The sequence below is a fragment of the Homo sapiens genome, chromosome 6 (genome assembly GCF_000001405.40).
Source record: "Homo sapiens chromosome 6, GRCh38.p14 Primary Assembly".
NCBI classification, from domain to species: Eukaryota; Metazoa; Chordata; class Mammalia; order Primates; family Hominidae; genus Homo; species Homo sapiens.
Window position 1 is genome coordinate 136,594,983 of NC_000006.12, and position 25,671 is coordinate 136,620,653.

The 25,671-nt window shown below is 41.8% G+C and overlaps 1 protein-coding gene across 8 annotated transcripts in view, besides 2 other annotated features; it reads right to left on the reverse strand.

Annotated features, from left to right (window-relative positions):
- Positions 1 to 25,671, reverse strand: part of MAP3K5 (mitogen-activated protein kinase kinase kinase 5) — a 236,046-nt gene that overhangs the window by 37,937 nt on the left and 172,438 nt on the right. For all 8 annotated transcript variants that reach the window (XM_017010875.2, XM_047418784.1, NM_001438058.1 and 5 more), the window contains 6 exons: positions 19,177 to 19,304; positions 18,138 to 18,274; positions 16,300 to 16,405; positions 10,227 to 10,384; positions 6,820 to 6,997; positions 6,040 to 6,060 (listed from right to left, as the gene is read on the reverse strand). In XM_017010875.2, the coding sequence (XP_016866364.1) occupies positions 6,040 to 6,060; positions 6,820 to 6,997; positions 10,227 to 10,384; positions 16,300 to 16,405; positions 18,138 to 18,274; positions 19,177 to 19,304 (728 nt within the window). The remainder of the gene's footprint in view (positions 1 to 6,039; positions 6,061 to 6,819; positions 6,998 to 10,226; positions 10,385 to 16,299; positions 16,406 to 18,137; positions 18,275 to 19,176; positions 19,305 to 25,671) is intronic.
- Positions 17,613 to 18,183: an enhancer, noted in NCBI's record as "OCT4-NANOG hESC enhancer chr6:136933733-136934303 (GRCh37/hg19 assembly coordinates)". NCBI's record gives its function as "activates a minimal SCP1, AML or CMV promoter by ChIP-STARR-seq in primed H9 embryonic stem cells {active_cell/tissue: H9 hESC(primed)}" and the evidence as "EXISTENCE:reporter gene assay evidence [ECO:0000049][PMID:30033119]".
- Positions 18,184 to 18,753: an enhancer, noted in NCBI's record as "OCT4-NANOG hESC enhancer chr6:136934304-136934873 (GRCh37/hg19 assembly coordinates)". NCBI's record gives its function as "activates a minimal SCP1, AML or CMV promoter by ChIP-STARR-seq in primed H9 embryonic stem cells {active_cell/tissue: H9 hESC(primed)}" and the evidence as "EXISTENCE:reporter gene assay evidence [ECO:0000049][PMID:30033119]".

Consider the following 25,671-nt stretch of genomic DNA (forward strand, 5'->3'; position numbering starts at 1 on the left):
GAGGCCTAATGAGGTAAAACTGTATATGCTTAAGGATGGAACCGAGTGCCTGTCACTATGGCTCGTTAAGGAAATAAAGGGACTTACAGATATTCTGCATGTTCTATGTGCAGAGCCCTGATTCCCTCCTCGGTTTGATTTTATTTTATTTTTGAGACAGAGTCACACTATTTTGCTCAGGCTGGAGTGCAGTGGCATGATCTTGGCTCACTACAACCTCCGCCTCCTAGGTTCAAGTGATTTTCCTGCCTCAGCCTCCCAAGTAGCTGGGATTACAGGCATGTGCCACCACCCCTGGCTAATTTTTGTATAGGGTTTCGCCATGTCGGCCAGGCTGGTCTCAAACTCCTGACATCAAGTAATCCACCTGCTTCGGCCTCCCAAAGTTCTGGGATTACAGGTGTTGAGCCACCGCACCCGGCCTGCTTGATTTTAAATGAGTGAACCTGATTCTAGATTGAGTCCCCTTCTCTATTAGGCACATGCATTCATTCATCCAACATACAGTTGTGGATCATCTACTATATGTCAGGTAGCCAGCAGGAGTTGCTGATGGACTGGAGTGAAGAGTGTGAAAAGGAAGAATCAAAAATGACTCCAAAGTAGAATTCTGGCCTAAGAAACTGAATGGATGCATATCGTACTTATATTCTAAGATGAGAAATAATACAGGCCAAAAAGGAAAGTTCTTTTTAGTGGATAAGGGGTGTTATTTGACAGTTCAGTTTGAAAAATGAAGACGGCAATTGGGCGGCTGGGCGCGGTGGCTCACGGCTGTAATCCCAGCACTTTGGGAGGCTGAGGCAGGAGGATTATCTCATGTTGGGAGTTCAAGACACCAACATGGTGAAACCTCGCTTCTACTAAAAATACAAAAATTAGCCTGACATGGTGGTGTGTGCCTGTAGTGACAGCTACTCAGGAGGCTGAGGCAGGAGAATTGCTTGAACCCAGGAGGCGGAAGTTGCAGTGAGCCAAGATCATGCCACTGCACTCCAGCCGCCAGCAAGACTCCATCTAAAAAAGAAAAAAGCAATTGGATATGAGTCTGGAGCTCAGAAGACTGGGCTAGATAGAACCTCAGCAGCCTACCTGGCTGGAGATGGTATTTAAAGTAAAGGATGACATAATTTGGGGAAAGATAAAAAGACAGCATAGACCCGGCCCTTAAGAATGCCAATATTTAGAGGAAAAGAAGGGGATGAACAGGCAGCCAAGGAGAATGACAAGGAGCAGCCATGAGGTTGGAGGAAAACAGAGAAAATGGGGTGTCATGGAAGCCCACACAGGAGAGGGCGAAAGTAAGAGAGAACAGTCATCCAGGCTGAGAGCCACTGAGAAGTTGAGTAGGTTGAGAAAGGCACTTGTTGGATTTGGCTAAAGAGATCTCATTAGATCTTGGCCAGAGCAGGCCCAGTGATCGCGTGGAAGGGGAGACGCTACATGGGTGGGAAGGAAGAGGTGGAGATCTGGAGACACTGTACTTCAAGACGGGAAGCTGTGATGTGGGGCAAAAAAAGGTGGTGGTGTCAGCCAGTGAGGCCATTTGTAGATCAGGGGAAGGACGGGTTTAGGACAAAAGACATTAGAGCATGTGTATATGGAACTCACTGGGAGAGGCAGAAGCTGGAGGAGTCACGGGGGCTCCACAGGAGCCAGAACTCATCTGTGAGGGATTGGCCTTCTGTAGGAAAATGGATGTTTTCTCTATTGTAAGGGGTGGAAAGAGCAAGACAGGTGGTGCTGAGACAGTTTGCTTTATACGTTTGTGGTGGAAATATGATCAAATCCACGCCTGAGATTTCTACCTTCTTAAGTTATGACGATTTCCAGGCAAGTGAGAATGCGTAGTGCCTTTCTGTGTCACTGTAAATGGGAAGAAGCTCAAGTGTAACTATTTCCAGGGGAGCACGGTGACAGTTTCCAGATATCACAGAGGTTACAAGTTCCTCGAACATAAGCTCATACACGTGAGTGATTGGGACCCCAGGCTGCAAGAGAGGAGCCTGGCAGGATTTCCAGTCACAGGCAGCCTTACTGCTGATATCTTGCCAGGTATTAAGAAGCCCTCCTCTATGGGGCTGACCACGAAGAGTCTAAAAGAGGCTGAATGAACCTCTCTGAGGATAGGACATGTCAAAGGTGTGTCTCTAAGGAGATGATTCTCATTGCCTTATTTCAGGGGCTGATGGGAAGGGGTGTGAGCCCCATATCCCCTAAGAGATAGCTTTACCAAGAGGCCAGGAGTAGGCTGGAGTCAGGAGGGGTGACTGGCAACCCTATGGACTCCAGATTGCTGGGAGCTCCCATCTATGGAAGGGAGACAGTGCGACCTTTAAGGAATTAGATACATTCCTGCTTTGGGAAAACGGGGATTTTCTAAATCCCTTCCATTGCTGTGAGGGTGGCCTCAGATCCTAACAGCTATTCATGATCACTAGGGATCTTTATGGTTCTCCTTCTCCTAGACAGTTTAGGAACAGTCTGGCCACAACACAGAGTCTCCTAACTGGCCATCCTGCCTCCAGTCTCCAACTGGCCAAACATAGAATAGTGGTTCTCACACTGCAGTGATGACAAGAATCATCTGGGTTTACTTAAAAGTACAGAATTCCAGCTTGCACCTCCAGATTCTGAGAAGGGCCAGGCATTTTAATTTTTAACAAGCATTGCAAGAGATCCATGCAGGCAGGATCTGGGACCAACTGAGGCATAGCTATATTCCTAGTGCCTTGTGCCTACATTCTAGTGCCAAGTGCATAGCAGAGGGTTAAAAATGTTATGGAATAAATCTTACTAAATAAACCATCCTCACACAGCCATCGGAATGATCCATCAATAGCTTCACTGTCCAATATGGTCACTACTACCCACATATGGTTATTAACACTGACATTTAAATAATAAAAATTCAGTGCCTCAGCCATGGTAGCCATGTTTAGTGTCTAATAGCCACATATGACTAGTGGCTAATGTATTGGACAGGGCAGATAAATGACATTTCTCTTACTGTAGAATCATAGGTCCAGTGCTGGTCTATAATATTATTTCAGATAAAAATTTTCCCCGGCTCCCCAACCCTCCTTGCTGATTCCTTAACATTTCATAAGGAGCCCTTTGGGATCTGAGCCTGCTCCCCACTCCAGCATCATCCCTCCCCTTTTACTTTAAGCACCAGTGCTGCTGAGCCAGCAAGCCTCCCTTAACACACAGTAAAGTTTCACACATCCTGGCATTAACTCATGCGAGAAGTCGCCTCACCTGGATCTCCACTCCCCATTCACCTGTTAAGTTCATATTTGTCCTTACTCATCAGGTGCACCTCACTGGAAAGTCTGCCTTGAAACAGCATTCTCAGACTGACTTCAGTCACTGTCTCTCCCTTTTGACTCCTCTGCACAGACTAAACTATACTATGGTGGAGATGATTTTTTCCAGTGTTTTTCTCCTATAAGGTCAATGGCTCTTTAAAATCAGGAACTCTGTCTTTATCATCCTTATACGTTCAGGGCCTAGCACATTTCCTGTGCACACCATAACTGTACAATTAATATTTAAGCTGACATGAATTACTTAAATCTCTGGGTCTGTGTGTGGCCATGGAAGAGCAGTCAGGATGAGACAAGTCATGTCCCTCTCTAAAGGGGAAGGGGGTCTCATTGTCACCACCCTCTTACTCCCCTCTTGAGGGGAAGCCAAGTGCAGTTATGGGAGGTAGAGAACCTTGAGAGGTGGGCCTGTGCTCTGGACAGAAACACATATATGGCCTATAGAAAGTACCTGGGGAAGGAAGAGGCCTGTATCTTGTACTCATCTAGAAGGAGAGTAAGACGAGCTAATAGGTCATTGTTTCAATTGACATGAGGCAGGCCATTTCCTATAATACCTGGGAACAATCAAATGGGATTTTAGGCAAGGCATGGTGGCACATGTAATCCCAGCACTTTGGGAGGCCGAGGTGGTAGATCACTTGAGGCCAGGAGTTCCAGACCAGCCTGGCCAACATGGCGAAACCCCGTCTTTACTAAAAATACAAAAATTAGCTGGGCGTGGTAGTGGGCACCTACAGTCCCAGCTACTCAGGAGGGTGAGGTGGGAGGATCGCTTGAGCCTGGGAGGCAGAGGTTGCAGTGAGCTGAGATTATGCCACTGCACTCCAGCCTAGGACTCCGTCTCAAAAAAAAAAGGGGGGGGGGGCGTGGATTTTAGCTCCTAATTTGGTTAGCACATCTGTCCTGCTCTCCTAGGAAGGAGAGGGAGGAGGCACATCATCCATGTAATGATATTGTTTTAGCTGAGAGTCTGAACAGTTTAATCATGCAGGGAATTGGGGACTGCCCCTTTTTCTAGGCCCAAGTCCATATGTAAGCAAGAACGGCGAAAGGGCAGTGGGAACCTGACTGACTAGAGTTCAGCAGGTTTACACCGTCCATCTCACGCTCACCCCAAGGTACATAGTCACTGAGAAGACATAGAACTGTCCACTTAAAGGATCTCTCTCTCTCTCTCTCTCTCTCTCTCATATATGCACGCTCTTGCCAAGTGTGTATGGTTGAGTTCACAGAAGTTAAATGCGTGTGTGTGATGGGAAACTATTTCCTGCGAACAAAAACCAAGCCATGTGGAAGGGATAAAACAATCATGGATTAAACTTCCAGGCACAGCTCCAAGGCTCTTTTAGGATATTATTTTATTTTATTCCCAGAACCAAATCTGTGAAGTAGGTAATGTTACCAGCACCGAATGACAGAAGAAATATGCATGTCCCATATTTAGAAAGTGGGTCAATGGGATCAGAACCCACTTCTGTGTAATTCTGAAGTCAGTGCCCATTTTAGGACACCAGAAGCAGGCTGGTCAGAAGGTTGCCAAGCACTGCAGGGCCGACTTTGTGACAATGCAAGGCTGCCTTCCGGAGCCCAGGCTGTCTGTGGAGAAAAGAGGTACAAGGGTGTGCCTGTCTTCTTCTGAGTTTCCCCAGATTCTCAGAATGGAAGAAATGGAAGAAGAAAAAGTAGAGAGGCTGTACCCAGGAAACCCCAATTAACAGGCCTCTACTCTGGGCTGACTGGCTTTGGGGCATCAGAGGAACCTGCAAAAACCTGCCCTTGGCCTGCAGAACCCATGCACAATGAACATTAAGCCCCCTGAACTGTTTGATCAACCACACATCCAACTTAGGAAAATCCAACACCATGCTGTTAATTTTTTTTTTTTTTTTTTTTTGAGACAGGGTCTCGCTCTGTCACCCAGGCTGGAGTGCAGTGGTATAATCACGGCTCACTACAACCTCCACCACCCCAGTCTCAAGCGATCCTCCCACCTCAGCCTCCCTAGTAGCTGGGACCATAGGCATGCACCACCGCACCCAGCTATTTTTCTGTATTTTTAGTAGAGATGGGGGTCTCACCATATTGCCCAGGCTGGTATTGAATTCCTGAGCTCAAGCAATCTGACCATCTCGGCCTCCCAAAGTGCTAAGACTATAGGCGTGAACCACCATGCCCAGCCTCATGTTCATTTCTTTATTATTCTTCTAAATGCTTTAATGGATCTTCTTAGAGCAAATCTACTTTCTCTACCTTCCTAGTTATGATCCGCAAAAGCCAACGTTAGAAAACAAAGGCACAATAACTCCTGGCCACTAAAAATAGAATGTATCACCCCAAAGATGACAGAGGAAGGTATCTGGCATTTACATTTTCCACAAGAAATACATTAGGTAGTCAACTGGTTCCTAGATAAAGAAGCATTTACTTCACTCAAATTGAAGCTGTCAAAAACACAGTCACCATCTTGCTTTTAGGGAGAAAAAATTTAAGCCATCCCCACTCATGAAAGAGAAAGATGAAGGATTTCCAAAGGAATAAGCCCAGCCAGGCTTGCAGCTGCACACATCCTTATAGTATCTAGTACCGCACCCTCCTTTCCCCCCATGTAAGCCAGGAGCAGAGCATGAGGCTACTTGATGGGAAGTCTGGAGTTTATCACACCAGACACCAGGTCTCAGCTCAATGGGCAAAGTAAAAACAAACTCACCATTTGATCCAGCTGAAAGAGCTGTGGAAAGAAAAGCAAACAGCCATGAATAAGCACGTGCTGGGTTTGTTGTTAAACTGAGAAATCAACAAAAAATGAATGCCTGAAATGGGGTCAATGTCCTTTCCAAACATTCAATCTGCCCATTCTCCTCCAATATAAACATCAAAAAACGCCAAGAACAATTGGAACCTTTACTTTTTTTTCTGAGTTATAGACAATTATTGCAAAAATATAATGTACTTATATTTTTACACTACTGTTTTATTTATAGCTGGCAATCTTTTCTCTCTTTCTTTTTCCTTCTTGCCTTTTTTTGGGTGTAATTATTCAGAAGTATATACCCTAAGAGGCAACAGGTATTTTCTACTGCCTTAAAAGAACCTATTACCTACAGGGCTTGGAAATCCAACAGCTCTATAATGGCTCTGTAGGCCCATTTGTGGTAATCTGGGGTTTCAGCTCTAAAAGGCTAAATTTAACCCCTCTTACACTTGAACCTTAGTATCCACAATGTTAGAGTGATATAGATGGTGACATATTAACTACCTACTAACTATGTGATTGAAGACTATTATGTATGAGGTCCCAGCACTTGTGAAATTGATGGAATACAGCTCCCTGATACTGCAACCAAATGCCTGAGAACACTGTGCTAATATTTATACCAATTTCCAGTGATATCTGTAAACAGGTTAGTTTACTTCCGGAAAATTCTTCCATCTTAAAAGCTTAGGATTGAAGGACTCAGACTATATCCTCTTCAATGCAACCACATACCTGAAAGCTTAGGTTGTGTCTTTTTCTTTTTGCTTGAAACTTTTAAAAACTCATCAACAAGCAAGTCGTTAGCACAGGCTCTCTTGTCAGGATCTGGTTCAAAACATTTCAGTATGAATGCCTTGGCCTCTGCAGACATGGACTCTGGGATCTCAGGGTGGACTTTAAACATTCCCACCTAAGACATAAATATAAAAAGTGCAATGTGCCTTCTGAGTGAACATCTCAGCACCTGAACTCCAGCTTCCATAACTTGACCCCCCAATGCAACAAGATCCCTTATCATACAACACAAACTTATGGCTTTTCTCAAAGGGAGATAAGATGTGTTTGCTGCAGGTTATAGAAGATCAACAGAGTGCCTTGGTACCTTTACCAATGGCACAGGCAGAATAATTAGTTGAAGACAGTAGGCAGCACTATGAAGTAATAATTTAGTCCTTCAAAGCTTTAGAACATATTGGTACATTGGCACACAAAAAGGATCTTTATTTTTCTTTCTTTCTTTCTTTTTTTTGAGACAGGATCTCACTCTGTCACCCAGGCTGGAGTGCAGAGTGGTGCAATCTCAGCTCACTGCAGTCTCGACCTCCCAGGCTCAAGCGAGTCTTTCACCTCAGCCTCCTGAGGTAGCTCGGACTACAGGCATATGCCACCACGCCTGGCTAATTTTTTGTACTTTTTGTAGAGATGGGGTTTTGCCATGTCGCACAGGCTGGTCCAAACTCCTGGGCTCAAGCAATCCACCCACCTCAGCCTCCCAGAGTGCTGGGATTTCAGCCACGAGCCACCATGCTCAGCCACCGAGCTGAGACCACTGCGTTGCTCACAGTAGCTAAGTGCTGGGCATTGTGCTGGGGTTTCTCCACTTACAGATCTCATCAAATCCTTCCAACAATCCAGCGGATTAAATATTTTCCTTGTTACACCAATGAGGAAAATAAGGCTTAGAAAGGATGAGGTAACAAGGCTAAGAAAAGGGAGATCTGGGATTTGAACCTGAATTGTTCGGATTAAAGCCTATGTTCTTTTCCCTATTACATGATTTGTGAATATCTTCCCTGTCTCAAATCACCTGCATTAAAAGAGATATTTAAAAGCACTTTAAAATTAAACAATATTTTTATAACAATTAGAATTTACTTATTACTGCTATTCTAAAAAAAATTAATGGTATTTTCATTTTTTAGTACAGAGCAAATTTTCAAAGGAAATCCTTTTGTTCTTATACAGCTTATGTAAATTCATTGTAATATAAACAATATATAATTATTTGTAAGAATTATATAGCCGATACCATGTGTCAGACACAGTTCTAAGTGCTTGGTACATTTTACCTCATACACTCCTCAAAAAGCTCTTATTATACAGGTACTTTTTTTTTTTTTTTAAGATGGAGTCTCATTTTTTGCCCAGGTTGGAGTGCAGTGGTGCGATCTTGACTCACTGCAACCTCCATCTCCCCAGTCCAAGTGATTCTCCTGCCTCAGCCTCCCAAGTAGCTGGGATTACAGGTGCCTGCCACTGTGCCCCCCTAATTTTTTTTTTTTTTTTTTAGTAGAGATGAGGTTTCACCATGTTGGCCAGGCTGGTCTTGAACTCCTGGCCTCAGGTGATCTGCCCGCCTCAGCCTCCCAAAGTGCTGGGATTATAGGTGTGAGCCACCACGCTTGGCTGACAGGTACTATTTTTATCCTTATTTTATAGATGAGGAAACTGAGGCACAAGCAGGTTAAATAATTTGCTCAAAGTCTCAAATATCTTGACCATGTTGGAGCCTGGATTCAAACACTGTAAACTGGTGCCACAGTCTATGTCATGTCATCTCTCTAAGATAGCAACTTCCTGTGCACAGCTTAGACTGGCCTAATGTGACAAAAAAACACATGGTATAATAATCATTGCATTCGTGAATTATAAAGCAGCATTTCAGATAAGTCCTAGACACTGGAGAAAACCTGAAAGACTGGCCAAGAAGAGAAAGACATCCACTCATGGCAAGAAAGGCACCTCTCTTGGCACCTGCCATTGCTCTCTGAGGTTTGGTCACACTACTCATTTTTATACCAGCAGTGTCCTATCAGATTGTCTTCAAGCATAAAGCCAAGCTTTGCACAAAAGCAGAAGGTCTGTAACAACACATGGCCCCTCACAAGAGGCTATGCACAGATGGAATAAGAGCTAGAAACATGGTCTGCAGCAGGGAGAGGAATAACAATTACCATCAAAAGTCCTCTCAGGCCAAACGCGTGGCTCATGCCGGTAATCCCAACACTTTGGGAGGCCAAGGCAGGCGGAGGGCCTGAGCTCAGGAGTTTGAGACCAGCCTGGGCAGCATGGTGAAACCCCGTCTGTACTAAAATATAAAAAATTAGCTGGGTGTCATGGTGTGTGCCTGCAATCCCAGCTACTCAGGAGGCTGAGGCACGAGAATTGCTTGAACTCAGGAGACGGAGGTTGCAGTGAGCCGAGATCGCGCCACTGCACTCCAGCCTGGGTGATAGATCGAGACTCTGTCTCCACAAAAAAAAAGAAGAAAGAAAGAAAGAAAAAAAGAAAAAAAAAGAAAAGAAAAAGTCCTTTGCCTTGGATCCCACAGGGGAGCACAAAAAATAAATAAATAAATAAATAATTTTTTTTTAAGTCCTCTGCCTTAGAAAGTAGCAGATGTGTGAGTTTTACTACTTGGGAAGCATGTTTCCATTTCAAACTTCCTGTTGGCCTGGCAGTCTGGCAGCGGAGGACTGCAGGGATTCAAGATGCAGGTCATAGCCATGCTCAGTCCCCAGATCTCAAAATGCTGGCACTTGTGCTCTCATGAGCCTATTTCTATTATCAGGTACCTCCTACTGCAAAAGGTGGGGCTTCTTCCTCCTCCCATAGGAGTTACTGATGGGCAAATTAACAAGCTAGAGGAGTAGGTATATGAGAATAAGACTGATTTACTTAAAATGGTAATTATGCTCTTTTTTTTTTAAAAAAAATGAAGCCTTCAAACTATTATGGTAGAGAAGTAAAGGAAATTATTAATTTTGGTTTAATTCCTAAATGGATTATAAAAAAAGTTCTTCTATCTTCATTCACGGAAAATTTTCAGACTGTTTCCCAAAGGGCTTAAATCATCTTCAGTATAGTCATGTGTTATTTATACTGCGTTGTTAAAAGGTGGTCAATGGAAGTTACATTGAATCTCACTTTATAGCTGAGAAAACTAAGGCACAGAGAGATCCACTGTGTGAGGCACCAGCGCTGGTTCTAACCGAGAGAGAATCTTCTTGACCTTTAATGTGTTCTAAGTTGTGTTTACTTAGCACCCTTTATCTAAAAAAATATGACACACACACACAGAACATCCAACAGCTATAAAAAGCTTTATCCATTTGTTTTTAAGAGAAATGAAGTGTGACCTTGAACATAGCTGCTTGTGGTTCTCCCAGTTCATAAAATGGGGGTTTTCCTGTGGCCATTTCAATGATTGTACAGCCCAGAGACCAGATGTCTGCTGCTTTTCCGTAGCCTCTTGGTCCTTTATCTATTATTTCTGGTGCCATATACTGGAGGGTACCTGGAAACAATTCAAACACATTTCCATTTTAAAAAGATAAAACAGAAGGGTATCTAATGACAGTTTTTCAACAGAATTTTTCAACAGAAATGAGACAACTGTAAAAACATGATTCAAGTCCTAATATCGTTTGTGAGTTCCAGTTTTCTCTGCTATTAATAAAAGTGGAAATAGCAGTTTTTATAATGGATTTCATCAGTGACATAAAAATACTTTACCCATATTATCTGGTTATGAATAGGTACGCTCTTATTCCCTAGACAGTGGAGTATAAGTGAGGCATCATTTCATTGGGCTTCTTAGAAACTTCTAACAATTAGTCTTTTGAGAACAATAACATCAGTACACATTTCTTGAAGTGCATGAAGACTGTTATTATGTAAACTTCTAATCTTTTCCAGAAGAGAATATAGTTCATTCATCCATTTCCTTAGCTCTATCTCTATTTTTCAGTTCCTAAATTGAATGCTTTAACTCTTCTGTTTTCATTCTTATTTCTTAATCATGACAGCATAAAGATTCTGAAAGCCATTGTGAAAATTAATGCAAATAAATTTCTGGTGTGCCCTATTCTGTAATCCAAATATACATGACTCCTGCTGCTGTCTGTGGTCCATGGACTAACAGGTTTAAGAGATCAAAGACAGGCCATGAGCCATCCATATAGACACATAATCAGATACAGTGACTAAGAATAAAGTGAAGGCCGGGTGCGGTGGCTCACGCCTGTAATCCCAGCACTTTGGGAGGCCAAGGCAGACGGATCACGAGGTCAGGAGTTTGAGACCAGCCTGGCAAACATGGTGAAACCCTGTCTCTACTAAAAATACAAAAATTAGCCGGGCTTGGTGGCGGGCACCTATAATCCCAGCTACTCAGGAGGCTGAGGCAGGAGAATCAGTTGAACCCAGGAGGCGGAGGTTGCAGTGAGCCGAGATCACGCCACTGCACTCCAGCCTGGGCAACAGAGTGAGACTCTGTCTCAAAAAAACAAACAAACAAAAAGAATACAATGAAAAAGGGAAGAGCTTTAAGCCTGCATGGAATCAGAGAGGTGGAGAGTGTGGTATAATAGAAAGAATTAAGTGGAGGGGGCCACGAGCCCTTAGTCTGCTTCTGGCCTAGTATACCCCAGGTAAACACTTAAGTACAACTACCTCATTAACCTAAATGAGAGGCTGGATTTGAACTTCGAATACCCCATAAAGTGGTTTCCTAAAGTCTAGCAATGAGTCAGGAGCATGAATAGAAACATATCACCGCATACCCTGCTTCTGATATACAAATAATATAGTCAGCAAACAAGAACTCATCCAAGATGCCATGTTGAATTACTTCAAATTATGAGGTGTTTGCCAAAAGAACTGCTTCAGATTTTCTGATTCATAACCAAAGTGACAGACATTTTGATAAATACAGATGACACCTTTTAGGAATGCCTCATGCATGGTTTTAGGTGAAAACAATTGTGTAAAATTCCTGCAAACTGTTCCTCTGAAAAGCACTATCATAGGTGAGAAATGGACTATTGTTTACAAAAATAAAAGTGTATCATTTTTGTTATGTATTGCAGTCTTTCTAGGTTTATCCTGCAGACCTTATCACTGCATAGCAGTAGTTCACGCTAACATACAACTGCACATGTCTGCTCTCAGAAAGCCTTTCACCTGGCCAAAGACAAGGCAACCATGCTCCCCAAAGACGCTCGCCCACCTTTACTACAAAATTGGTATGATTTCTCTTCATTTGTAGCTTTTCCCCAAGTGATAATTTTGTATGATTTAAATAAGCTCAAATGGTCTTTTCGAAAATGCATCGAAGCCTACCACCCCCTTTTGTTGTCTCGGGGCCTAGAATAGAATTAATGAGAGAATTTAAGTTGTACTAATAGCTAAGTGGGAGTTATAGTGGATCAAAATTTGGAAATTTTTAATTTTTAAACATCGTAAATTAGACAATTCAAGTAATGTCAACAACAAATTATGCAATATTTGATTTGTCAGATAACCATCTGCCAATTGTGTTTAATTATCCCCCACTGAGCAAGTGCCAGAAAAACAGGTTGAGTCATGTGTTCTTATCTGCTCCTCTTTTTACTCCACAAATACATGACACATAATATTTTAAACAAAGCAATTTACGAAGCTGGATAATGAAGATGAGAGCCAACCTGAACACTGGCTTAAGTAAAATCAATGAGAGTATTTGCTCTAAAACTCATACCTCACATATCTGCATTCTAAAGTTTTTTTAAAAAATTGCTTTGAAATATCTATTGTAGAATTTCTTTGCTGCTGCAACTACCCAGGGAGGTGGTACAGCTTAGTGGTTAATTAAACTCTAATGTCACATTTCATTCATTCACTCATTCATTTAACAGATCCACACTGAGGACCTACTATGGGCCAGGCACTGTTCTAGGCACTTAGAATACAGCAGAGGAGAAAACATATAGAAATACCTGGGCTTATGTTTTTGCAGTAGAAGCCAGATGATAAATTATCAGCACAGTAAGTAAATTATACAGCATGTTAGAAAGTGACATGTTATGACCAAAAAAATATAGACCCGAGTGAAGAGGATCAGCAGGAAGGCTGCCATGGTAAATAGGGTGTTCATGGCTGGTCTCACTGCAGAGGTGGACATCTGCGTTGAGACTGGAAGAAGGTAAGAAAGTTACCCATGCAGACAGCTGGGGTAGCGGCAGGAGGAAAAGCCTGTGCAAAGGCCCTGTGATGGGACCCTGCCTGCTGTCATGGAGGAAATGCAGGAAGGTCCACGTTTCTGGCTCTGAGTAAATAACAGAAGAAGAGTAGGAAATGGGGTCTGAAAGGGAACAGACTCCGAATCAGGTCAGAGCCTTGTCCCCCACTATGAGGGTTCTGACATTTGTTTACTCTGAACAAAAAAAAAAAGCAAGCCACTGAGGGCTCTGAGCAATAGGACTTGGTTTATGTTTCAGAGGGATCACTCTGGCTGCAGTGCTGAGAGTAGACAGTAGGGGGCAAAAGTGAAGCAGGAGCACAGTTGGGGAAGCCACCGAAAATGCAGGTGAGCGATGAGAGTGGCAGCAGCAGAGGTGGTGAGAACCGGCCCAATGTTGGACATGTTTTGAAGGCTTCGTGGACGGACTGGGTTGGAGTGTGAGAAAAGAGAAGTGCCCTGGATAACAATGTCGGGAGTGGCTGCCAACTGGGACAGAAGAGTGTGCCGGGGACAGGTTTGGGAGAAGATAATTAATTCCCTTTGGCCTGTTAAGTCTTGCTTGAGTCTCAGCTCTATTACCAACTAGCTTTGTGACCTTGGGCAAGTTATTCAACCTCTTTGAACCTTCATTTTCTCACCACAAACTGGGATAATGATACCTAATGATTAAGGCTGATGTATGAATTTCAATAAAACAACATATGTAAAGCACTTAGTGCAGAGCAAGGTAACACAGTAAGCACTCCATAAATGGTGATCACTGCTGCCTTTTCCCTCATCAAAATCACCAAAAGGTGATGCAGACCAATTTATTGACTGAGCACCTGGGACTAACCCACCTGGGACTTAGTGACCACCAAGTTCACGTTTGAAGCCTATGATGTGCAGGGCCCTCGGGACCGGTGCTGGGGACAGATCTATACATGTTAGTGACACACGTCACTCTTACGTGACACCAGTGGAAGAGGTCCAAGAAAAGGGCTCTGTGAGGACTGCTTTCCTACAATTCCTTTGGAGATTTTACAAAAAAGATGTTCCCCAGATTAGTAGCAGAAGATACTGTGTTAACATCCTGTCCCACAAAGTGTGTGAAACGAGGGATTTTCCTCTCAGAAATTACTGAGTCTTGACAGCACTGAAACTGCTGCTTGCCAAGTTAAGAGTAAGAGGAAAGAAATGTAAAGACATTTGAAGTTATTAATAGGTCAGAATTTAGTTTTTTCAAAAAAATATATTCAAAATGTGTTTAATTCTGTACCCTAAAATATCCATTGCCCTGAGGTGGGAGCTGGGCCAGGGGTATTGCTGACTGAATGCTCTAGGGAAAAAACTTACACAGAATGTCTCTCTCTCCTCCTGCAGGAAGGTAGAGAGAAAGATGGACTAGAGCCAGAAGGTAAAAGCAAAGAGCAAACAGTAGATACAAAATCTGAGTTCTGGCTAGGCGTGGGGGTTCGCACATGTAATCCCAGCACTTTGGGAGTCCAAGGCAGGTGGATCACTTGAGGTCAGGAGTTTGAGACCAGCCTGGGCAACATGGTGAAACCCTGTCTCTACCAAAAATACAAAAAATTAGCCAGGCATGGAGGTGCGTGCCTATGGTCCCAGCTACTAGGGAGGCTGAGGTAGGAGAATCACTTGAGCCCGGGGTAGGGGAGGTCACAGTGAGCAGAGATTACACCACTGTACTTCAGCCTGGGTTACAGAGCGAGAACCCATCTCAAAAGAAAAAACAAAAACAAAAAAACAGTTTTGCCAGGCATGACATCCTAGATACTTAGGAGAGTGGGGTGGGTGGACTGCTTAAACCCAGGAGTTCAAGACCAGCCTGGGCAACATAGCAAGACCCAGTCTCAAAACAAAAACAAAAACAAAAAACCAGTCTGAGTTCTATCCGGTACACACTGCTGTGACTTCTGACTGCAATGTCACTTCTCTCCCAGGTAATTTCCTCATCTACAAAATGGAGGTACTCCCACCTACCTCACAGAATTGAGATGGGGCCATGTTGCTTCATATTAGACCAAAGATTATTCATGATCTTTTTCTCTTCCCTTCCCCTTACCCTTTTTTTTTTCCTGCTAAATTTCTCTCTATAAGAAGAACTTAACACTTCATGAGAATTAGCATGATGGAGTGATAAGAACTAAATGGAGATCAGGTTTGAAGTCTCACACACCCTCCCTATAACTGTTGGGCAGTCATGAATCTCTTGAGTCTGAGCTTCCTCTTGGCTACTGTTACCTTTTTGGAAATCACTTGGTCTCCACCCTCCCAGTACTTTGCACCAGAGGCAGCTCAGTGGTTGCGTTGCCTACTTTCTCAGGAAAGCTCTCTCCCTCCCTTCTTCTGAGTCGGTGAGTCACTTCCTCTTCTGAATTGAAATCCTAGGGTTATTTATATTGTGGAGTAGGGGAGTCAACCACAGAGAGTAAACAGTAAAAGAGGGAATTCATCGTCCAAATGGGAAGTGATTAGGGTATGAGTAAGCATCACAGAGAGGTTGGGCCAAGGAAATGTTTAATAAAAAAAAAAAAAAAAAAATCTTGCTAGAGTTATTGTAGGCCAACCAGGAAAGAAGTAATTACATGAAAAGAAAAATAAGTAACAAGTTGAGAATTAAAAAAAAAAAAAAATCTTCAGTGGCATTAAGCAGGAGACTAACTAAGCAAGTCATATAAATACAGGAAGAGAAAAGGGCCAAATCAAATTCTGTAACACATTTTTCAGTGAGCATCAAAAGATACCAACATTGGCCAGGCGCAGTGGCTCACGCCTGTAATCCCAACACTTTTGGAGGCCACAGGTATATCGCTTGAGCCCAGGAGTTTGAGACCAGCCTGGGCAACATGGTGAAACCTTGTCTCCATCAAAAATACAAAAAAATTAGCTGGGCGTGGTGGCGCATGCCTGTAGTCCCAGCTACTCAGGAGGCTGAGGTGGGAGGATTGCTTGAGCCTGGGAGTTTGAGGCTGCAGTGATAGGTGATCACACCACTGCATTCCAGCCTAGGTGACAGGGCAAGACCCTGTCTCAAAAAAAAAAAAAAAAAAAAAAAAAAAGAAAGAAAAGAAAAGAAAAGAAAGAAAAAAGATACCAACATTACTGTGTGTGAGAACACCAACTGAATTTCTCTCTCACATTGTGCTCAAACTCAGCAATTATTTCTTTAATTACATAAGATCTGTATCATCATTGCAAAAACATACCAGTAAAAGTTTCAGTACAGGGGTTTATGCCAGCAAGCCTCTTTGATGTTCCGAAGTCAGAGATCTTGAGAACACCACTGTAGGTATTAATCAACACATTGTCACCCTAGAGAACAGAGGACTTTAATCACAATTGTTATCTTTCTTCAGATACTGTCTGTTGTTGACTTGGTAAGTCCAATTTAAAAAAAAAAAAGGTGTCCTTACAGCTACCAACGACATTAATTCTGTATTCTTCATTAATAGTTTATCTCAATAGTGCATTCTTGACACTATTTTTTGTTTACATATTATCAGTTTGAAACCAACCGCCTTTGCGAAAATTACAACAGTGAGAAAATTATGACAGTAAAAGAGATCTGATCTAACCACCACCATCTTGCTTTAAATTTCCAAACTGCCCTTGGTCATTCCAGGGTGTAGACCAAGCTCACTTGGAGAAATTTAATTTATAGTTTAGTTGATAATAGCCCTTCCCCAAAACTAAACTATCTTTGTAAAACTAATGAAAGGCCACCAGGTTAGGAGGATGAGAGGGGCCTAAAGTCCGCTAAGATGTAGGCACAGTCAAATGATTATCAGCCCATTATTCTGGGGGTCACAAGATTTGCAACTTCCCCAATTGTTCCTATAATTGACATCACTATTGTAGAACTGAAGACTGGCCTTTTGAGATGTCTTTACAGGCTTCTCCATTTCTGACTATCAGATGGCATCACCCAGACCTGTGACTCTGGACTCAACCAGTCCTGTGGCCCCTACCCAGAAGTGGACTCAACACACAAGAACCATTTTCCACACCCCTATAATTACATCCCCAACCACCCAGACCCTAGCCCCCTGCTCACCAAACTATCTTTGAAAAACCCTAGCCTCTAAATTTTTGGAGAAGCTGATTTGAATAATTATAAGATCCAATATTTTGTTTGGCCATCTCTATGTGTATTAAACTCTTTCTCAATTGCAATTCTTACATCTTGAGAAATCAGCTCTATCTGGTCAGTGGGCAACATGAACTCATTGGATGGTTATAAGTTCTTCATAATCTGCTACTCAGATCACAAGATCAAATATGATTCCTAATTGGTTAGAGCTTGTTGCTATTTACAGATATATAATGATGTATGTATAATTAAATTACGATTTTCATAACTTTCCAGTTACCTTACTTTCTTTTCTATGTTTCTTTACTTCTTTTCCTGGAATATGTAGGGACATGATAGATAAATGGGCTTTTTGGTTGATTTTAGGGTACTAATATTAACTTATTTTCAACAGTCCAGACTTTGTAAAAAATGTATTAGTTCTGAATTTTCTTTTTAAAAAGAGAATGTAAAGTTATTATTTTAGCTTATTTTAGAGAATCTATACCTTATAATTATAGTTAAATCAATGAATATGTGATACTTGTGAGAAAAGAGGAATTTTTTTTCTTCTAACCATTCATCCATTGATTCAATAAGTATTTACTGAGTAGCTACTATGGGCAAGGATACAAAGATTAACCAGCCTATAAGCTCCTCAGGACCAGGGGCCATCTCCTGTTTAACTTTTGACAGCTGCATCCCACACCACAGAGCTCCTAGGAAACATTGTGTGGTGGGAGCACAATCTTGTTGGCTGAACGCAGTTAAGCAGTGTGTTCCTTGAGCAGAAGCGTTAAGACATGAACATAAATAACTGATTCAGGGTTGAACGATATTTTATATTTCTGCTGTTTCTAAGATTTACTTATTCACCATTCTAAATTAATACTCATAACACAATATGACTTTTGCAAGTAAAATAATAACCCAGCAAAGAAAGAACTCATGAAAATGAATGCTGGTGTACCTCACCTTTATGTCCCGGTGAACTATCTGATTGTCATGGAGATATTTTAATCCTTCCAGTATTTGCTTTGTATAAAAGCCAATTGTTTGCTCATTGTCTTTTAATGGACCCCATTTGGAACGAAGGAGAGCAGAAAGACTTCCTGTAAAGTAGGGATAAATAGTAAATAAATCCTCATTCAAATGAGCTCTTTAAAGTGTATTAATAATGTAACAGTAATTTAAGCTAACAGTCATTGGTTCTTCACAGTGGCCCAGGAGCTATACTGGATATCGGGCTCAAACATGAATTTGCAAATATCCCTACTCTAAAGATGCTTGTAATCAAATATGTCTAAGTAAAAGGCCAATGTCAATTGCCAACTTTAATTCAAGTCATGATGATAGATACTGAAATGGTTCCCATATTTATGTATTGTCTCTGTGAAATTACATAATTCACATGTAAAGCTTCTAGAACTTTAAATTATTTGAGCCTTATTATTTAAGGAATGTGACTTTGTGGCCTGAGTCATATAGCATTCAGTTGTAACTTCTGATTCTGCGATTATAGGCTAAATCTCTTCCGCATTTTTGTCCTGTAAATGATTGGAGAAGACTGAATGGTGCCAAAGAAAAGATCCCCCGAGACCATTACCCCTCCTTATGGAACATTAAAATAATGTGCCTTGGAATACAGCAAGCTGTAACCACTTAAATGTAATGACTTTGGGTAGAAGATGTTGCCACCCTGTTAGTCTTCAGCTTATATAAGTGAAACATGAACTTCCTCACTTTGGAACACTGGCCCATTCTTTTGGAGTCTGTGTTTCCTGGGTGGCTATCCTCAAGCTTTGCACTGGAATAAACTCTATACATTAGGATATTTTCTAAATCTCATCATTTATGGTTGACATCTCCTAACAAACTGGAGGTAATGTCACATGTCCAATTTTTCTTTCAGTTTAGACAGATTAAGACCTGTACGCTAGTAAATCCCATTCAATTTTACTCCCCTCCGAAGCTCTAAACATTCACACTTTTTAAAGAAAGAAATATCTCTTACCTCCAGGGACCTGCTCCATGAAGATTTTAATGAAACCATTCTCACTGAAAGAGCCCAGATACTGGACAATATTTTTGTGCTTCAGGTGTTTATGCAATGCTATTTCTTCATGCAGGGGCTGAGAGTATCTAAAAGACATGCAATTGTCAATGAGTTAATTATGTAGCCAGACTTTACTGTATAAATTTAAACAATACAAATGGAAAATGTCAGCCAAATATATGTCCATATGTAAAACCAAAACAACCACTTAAGGCCTTTATTTCTCCTAAGGTAAATTCTATGAGGTTGAAGGTGTGGTAGGATCTGAGGGGAAATGTGTCAGGTACTAAGCCAGTTGTATACATTAATTCATTTCCATGAGAAGGTAGTATTGGTATGCCCATTTTACAGATGAGGAAACTGATTCACAGAGAGGATGACTGACTTGCTCAAGATCCCAAAGCTATTAAGTGACAGAGCTAAGATTCAAACCCAGGAGAACGGAAATTGTCCACAGTTTACTCTCCATATTAACATATTAACATGACTTTCTATTCCACTGGCCTCATCAACACAACTTTATTATTGACTATAAAACTTTACTATTACAATTTACTATTAATCAGGAGACTCTTGCCCAGGAAGACAAAACTTGCATAATGTACATTCCAGAACTTCCTGAAAGGCCCGTCAATTTTTCAATAGCAAACATAAAACCACTCATATGTCAAATCTCTTTGAGCCCCTTGCGTCAAAATCTTCACCTTACTGTATCCACTAATTCTATTATATCATGATTTTTACCTAATCCTCATGAAGCCTCCACATTGAAAGTGTGACTTCAAAATTATGTACTTGATATATGTTGCTGATTCAAATTATAAAAGTTATTTTATATTTCTGGAGCAGAACAACACTTTTGATGATTATTGGAAGTACTGTAAAGCTTTATAGACTCTTAACCACCCTGAATTTAATGTAGCCCTAATGTAATTATTGTACAGCTTGCCAAAGAACATAATTTCAGCAAATTGAGTTTTAAAAATCAAATTGGCTTTTATTCATGATTCATGAGCCAGGCAGTATCCAATCAAAATAGGAGGTCCGCTGGGCATGGCAAAACAGTGGGTTTTCTTTCCTAAGGTAGCTTGAGCAGGAAGAAAAACAACACAGAGCAAAAACCAAGTGGTTAACGTTAGGTTAGTTCAGGTTACTTCCCTTGCAGGGGTTAAAGCAGAGGGGACTTCTTTTCATGCCAGCTCAGGTTGGCTGGGTGCCTTTTGATCAGTCCCTGTGACTCTGTTTTGTTTTTGTTTTTTGAAAACTGGCCTGTTGGAGAATTTGGCTATCATCTCTCTCCTGATTTTTCAGAAGGTCAGATCTTACAAGTAAACTGCTTAGTTTTGGTTTGGTGATGTGGAACCCTAGCATGGTTCCACAGGCTGGTCTGTTGGAGCCTAGTGCAGGAGCTCAGTCCAAATCAGTAGCCTCAAATTTTACTTAAGAAGCTAAATATTGTAGGGTGTCAGCAACAATAAATACAGACTCAAAGCAATTCCTCGAGATATAGATCTATATATAATCTAAATTGAATATATATATATCTTCTATAATGGAGGCTACAGGTGTGAAATACACTAATAATTCACATTAGTGCAAACCTGGTGTCTCACACTTGCTTCAGTCCTACATGTAGGAAATCCTTAGATCTTACACTGACAAATCCATTGGTTAATGCTGAATAATGCTATTTTCAATAAGCTTTTTAGAGTAAGTGCTTTAGCTAAAGCAATTAGTTTATAAACATTTAAATTCATTTAATTTAAATTAATTTTTATTATCTGTGTAATATTTCCAGAAAGCAGCCAACAGCAATAACAATAACAAAAGACTTGTATTTTAGATCGATTATTCTTTTTTTCTTTAGAATTACTTCAGGAACTATGAAGGGCACGTATTAAAATGAGCACTTTAATAGTATACCAGTTAGAGATAGCAACAACATTTTGATAATTGCTTGAGTGAGATAACACCAGAAATATCAATATACAGTGTTACCAATAAGATACTTAGGTAATGACTCTCAACTATAAGGGTATTTACAAGTTGCTTCTTCCATGAGGGTTAAAACACTTTGATGTTGGTTCATACCTGCTCCTCTTTTTTTTTTTTTTTTTTTTTGAGATGGAGTTTCACTCTTGTCGCCCAGGCTGGGGTGCAATGGCGTGATCTCAGCTCACTGAAACCTCTGCCTCCCGAGTTCAAGTGATTCTCCTGCCTCAGCCTCCCAAGTAGCTGGGATTACAGGCGCCTGCCACCATGCCTGGCTAATTTTTGCATTTTTAGTAGAGACGGAGTTTCACCATGTTGGCCAGGCTAGTCTCGAACTCCTGACCACAGATCACCTCTCCCCACCTCAGCCTCCCAAAGGGCTGGGATTACAGCTGTGAGCCAACAAACCTGGCTTATAACTGCTCTTGATATAGATTAGTGGCAAATACTGTGCCTCTGTATTCTACAGAGTTAAGAGATAAAGAAAAATCTGAAACAATCAAGTAACTCGATGATGATGATGATGATGATGATGATGGTGATGATGATGATTTGAGACAGGGTCTCTCTCTGTCACCCAGGCTGGAATGCAGTGGCACGATTACAGCTCACTGCACCCTCAGCCTCCCAGGCTCAAGCAATGCTCCCATTTCAGCCTCCCGAGTAGCTGTGACTACAGGCATGCACCACCATGCCCAGCTAATTTTTGTATTTTTTGTTTTACCATGTTGTCCAGGCTAGTCTCAAACTCCTGAGCTCAAGTGATCCGCCAGCCTCAGCCTCCCAAAGTGCTGAGATTACAGGCATGCACCACCATACCGGGCCCTCAGTTAATTATTAATCAAAAGACTCCCACCTCCTGATTCTCTACTGAAAATCAAAACATCAATGCTTAAACTTAAGACCCTGGAGAAGCAATATCCTTACCTCATTACTTAAACTAAGGAGATAGCTCAAAATTTGCAATAATAGTCAGAATCCAACCTAGCTAAGGACAAGTACTCTTCTCCAATATAAAAAATATTACAAACACCCAGCATTTTCACTAAGTGTAAGTGCCAAGCATTAAACAAGGATGGAATTATAATTTGTTCACATCAACAAATTATTCTTATCTATGAGAATTATAAGAAAATCATATTTCTTCTCAATTACCTGTAACAAGGGAAAGAAGAAATGGCCTAGATAATCAGAGATACTTACATATTTTGGTTTTGACAAAACTATTAATCCATAGGTATCGCCAGACATCCCCTCTGAGTCAAATCCCTACTGCTAACCATCTAGACCAGTGGTTGCCAACCTTGACTGGATATTTACATCTCCTAGAGGGCTTCTAATTGTCCAGGACCACCCCAGGATTTCTAGAAGTAGAGCTTGAGCATCAGTATTTTTAAAAGCTCCCCTGTTGTCTCTCATATACAGCTGGGTGAAAAATGACATAGAAATAACCAGTCCACGGCCGGTGCAGTGGTTCACTCCTGTAATCCCAGCACTTTGGGAGGCCAAGGTGGGCAGATCACTTGAGGTCAGGAGTTCAAGACCAGCCTGGCCACATGGTGAAACCCCCTCTCTACTAAAAATATAAAAATTAGCTGGGTGTAGTGGCAGGTGCCTGTAATCCCAGCTACTTGGGAGGCTGAGGCAGGAGAATCACTTGAACCCAGGAGGCGGAGGTTGCAGTGAGCCGAGATCGCGCCACTGCACTCCAGCCTGGGCGACAGAATGAAACTCCATCTCAAAAATAAAATAAAATAAAAATAACCAGTTCAGGATATGTAGAATATCAGAAGAGAAAGCCAACCTGAGATTAACAACTAGTTGGGGGTGGATGATGAGAGCATACTAAATCTACCTCTTCCCTCTTACAACCACTTTGATTCTCTAACAAAGTGGTTTTAGAACATGAAGGAAACAGAGGAGAAATTGTTTCCATTGCTCTGATCCTTCTTTACAGATGGTAGTTTAGTGTACACTCAGGTTGTATCATGCATTATTCACATCACACTACTTTTGTAATTATGCTTTGTAACTGTAACTGCTATCTTTTTCAACAGAACGTCCACACCCCTCCAGGTTACATGGATAGAAACAACTTTGTTTGCTGTATCTTCACAATAATAGAGTTGTCTGCGATCTCTTTACATTGTCAATAAGAAGATGCCCTGCACCAGCTGTTCAAGCTAAGGGCTTGTCATGTGCAAATCACATATACCAACTGCATTGTTACAGAACAGGAGCTGAAACATCTTGTTGGTGTTGGTGTGCTTTGTGTGTGTATAGTAGCATTTGAATAAACTTAAACTACAGGGTGATTTTAAAAGTGAGTTTCTTCCAAGTGTTCACCTAAATCCATCAGGAGTAGAGAAGAGAGGAGCTGTGGCTAAAGGTTAGTGAATTTGGCTGCAGCAATTTGATAGTGATGACCTCGTTAAATTTCATATTGTTTCAAAGTCTACACTATCTATACATATGCTCCTTAAGAACACATAGGACTAAAAGAAAAATTTTAAGATGACAACTTTATATATATTACCTAGGTATTTAATGAGTAATTTCTATTACTGTTTCATAAGAATCCATAATCATGTCTCATGAATTAACTAAGAGGAAACTCTGGAACGACACCAAACAAATATGAAATTGAATGAAACTACACATGCGGCAGGCAGCAACAGCTGTTTGCTTACCTAGTATCTATTCTTCCCTCTTTCTATGATTTTGTTTGGAGAAACAAATGGCTGGCTAAAAAGCCGGAGTTCCTAGTTCCTTGTAGGTAGGGGTAGGCATTTTGGGCGAGTGCAACAGAGGAGAAAGTATACTGGGCAGTTCTGGGAAGCTCTGTTTTCCTTTTCCTTCTGGACTGACATATGGAGCCTGGAGGCAGGGTGAAAGTCACGCACTAAGGATAAAGAGCTGGGACCGGACACAGTGCTTGCATGGGAGGGGGTGTCTTTTTCAGTTTGGGACAGTCAGAGAAGACCTCTCTGAGGGCTTGACATTTGAATTAAAGCTTAAGTGATGAAAATGAGGCAATCCTGCCAAGGTCTGGGTTGATCTTGGTATGCCCGATAGAGAGACACCAGTGTGGCTGGAGTGGAAGTGAGGCCACAGAGGAAGCAGATCACCTATGGCCTTGTGATTCAAAGTAAGGGTTCTGGGTTTCATGCTGGTTGCAATAAGAATCCACTGAAGGGTTTTAGGCAGTAGTGACGTGATGTGATTTTTAAAAATAGATGTTATTTCTTAGAGCAGTTCGTAAGTTCACAGAAAAATTGAGAGGGAGGTACAGAGATTTCCCACACACTCCTGGTTCCCACACATGCACAACCTCCCCCCTTATCAACATTCCCCACCAGAGTAGTCCATTTGTTACAACTGATGGACCTTCACTGACACATCATTATCACTACATGATTTGATTTTAACTTCAGAAAGACCTCTGTGACTCCTCAAAGAAGGATGGACTAGGAGTGGAGGAAAGAGCGAAAGCAGAGACCAGTTAGGAGGTGATTGCAGAGACTAGAAGGGAGTCCCAGCGACAGGCCTGAAGGCTTAGATTAGAGGTGCAGCTGTGGTGATCAGAAAGAGTAGAGAGATTCAGAATATCTTGCAGAGGCTGATACAACAAACAGTACGACTTACTGATGGAGTAGATGTGGAGTGCAAGAGAAAGAGAGGAATCAAATGAATCCTGGAGGTTAGCCTGAGCAGCTGGATACATGGGGAGACAGTAACTGATAACACAAGGAGTACTTTAGGGAGAGTACATTTGGGAATAAAAATTGGGTTCACGGCCTGGCGTGGTGGCTCACGCCTATAATCCCAGCACTTTGGGAGGCTGAGGTGGGCAGATCACTTGAGGGCAGGAGTTCGAGACCAGCCTGGCCAACATGGTGAAACTCTGTCTCTATTAAAAACACAAAAATTAGGCAGGCATGATGATGCAGGCCTGTAATCCCAGCTACTCAGGAGGCTGAAGCATGAGCATTGCTTGAACTCGGGAGGTGGAGGTTGCAATGAGCTGAGATGGGGCCACTGCACTCTAGCCTGAATGACAGAGTGAGTCTCTGACTTAAAGAAATAAGGAAATAAAAATAAAATCTGGGTTTGCTATTGGGTTACATACTCACTACCTAGGTATATTTGATGGATTCCTTTGTACTCCAAACCTAAGCAACACACAATATTCTTTTGTAACAAACCTGCGCATGTACCCCCTGGTTCTAAAATAAAAGTTAAAAAAGGAAAAAAATCCAGGTTCAGTTTTGGTCCTGTTAACCTTGAGATGCCTTTGAGATCTATAACTGGAGATGTGGGGTAGACAGGTAACCTGGGGAGCTCAGGGGTGGGTCCTTCCTAAGGAAGGCTGGTCATGTGGCCTATGACCACGGCCACAGAACGTGGAGTCAAGGGCAGCCAGAGTCAGCCCATGATGTAGCCCAGCATTAAAGCCTGGCC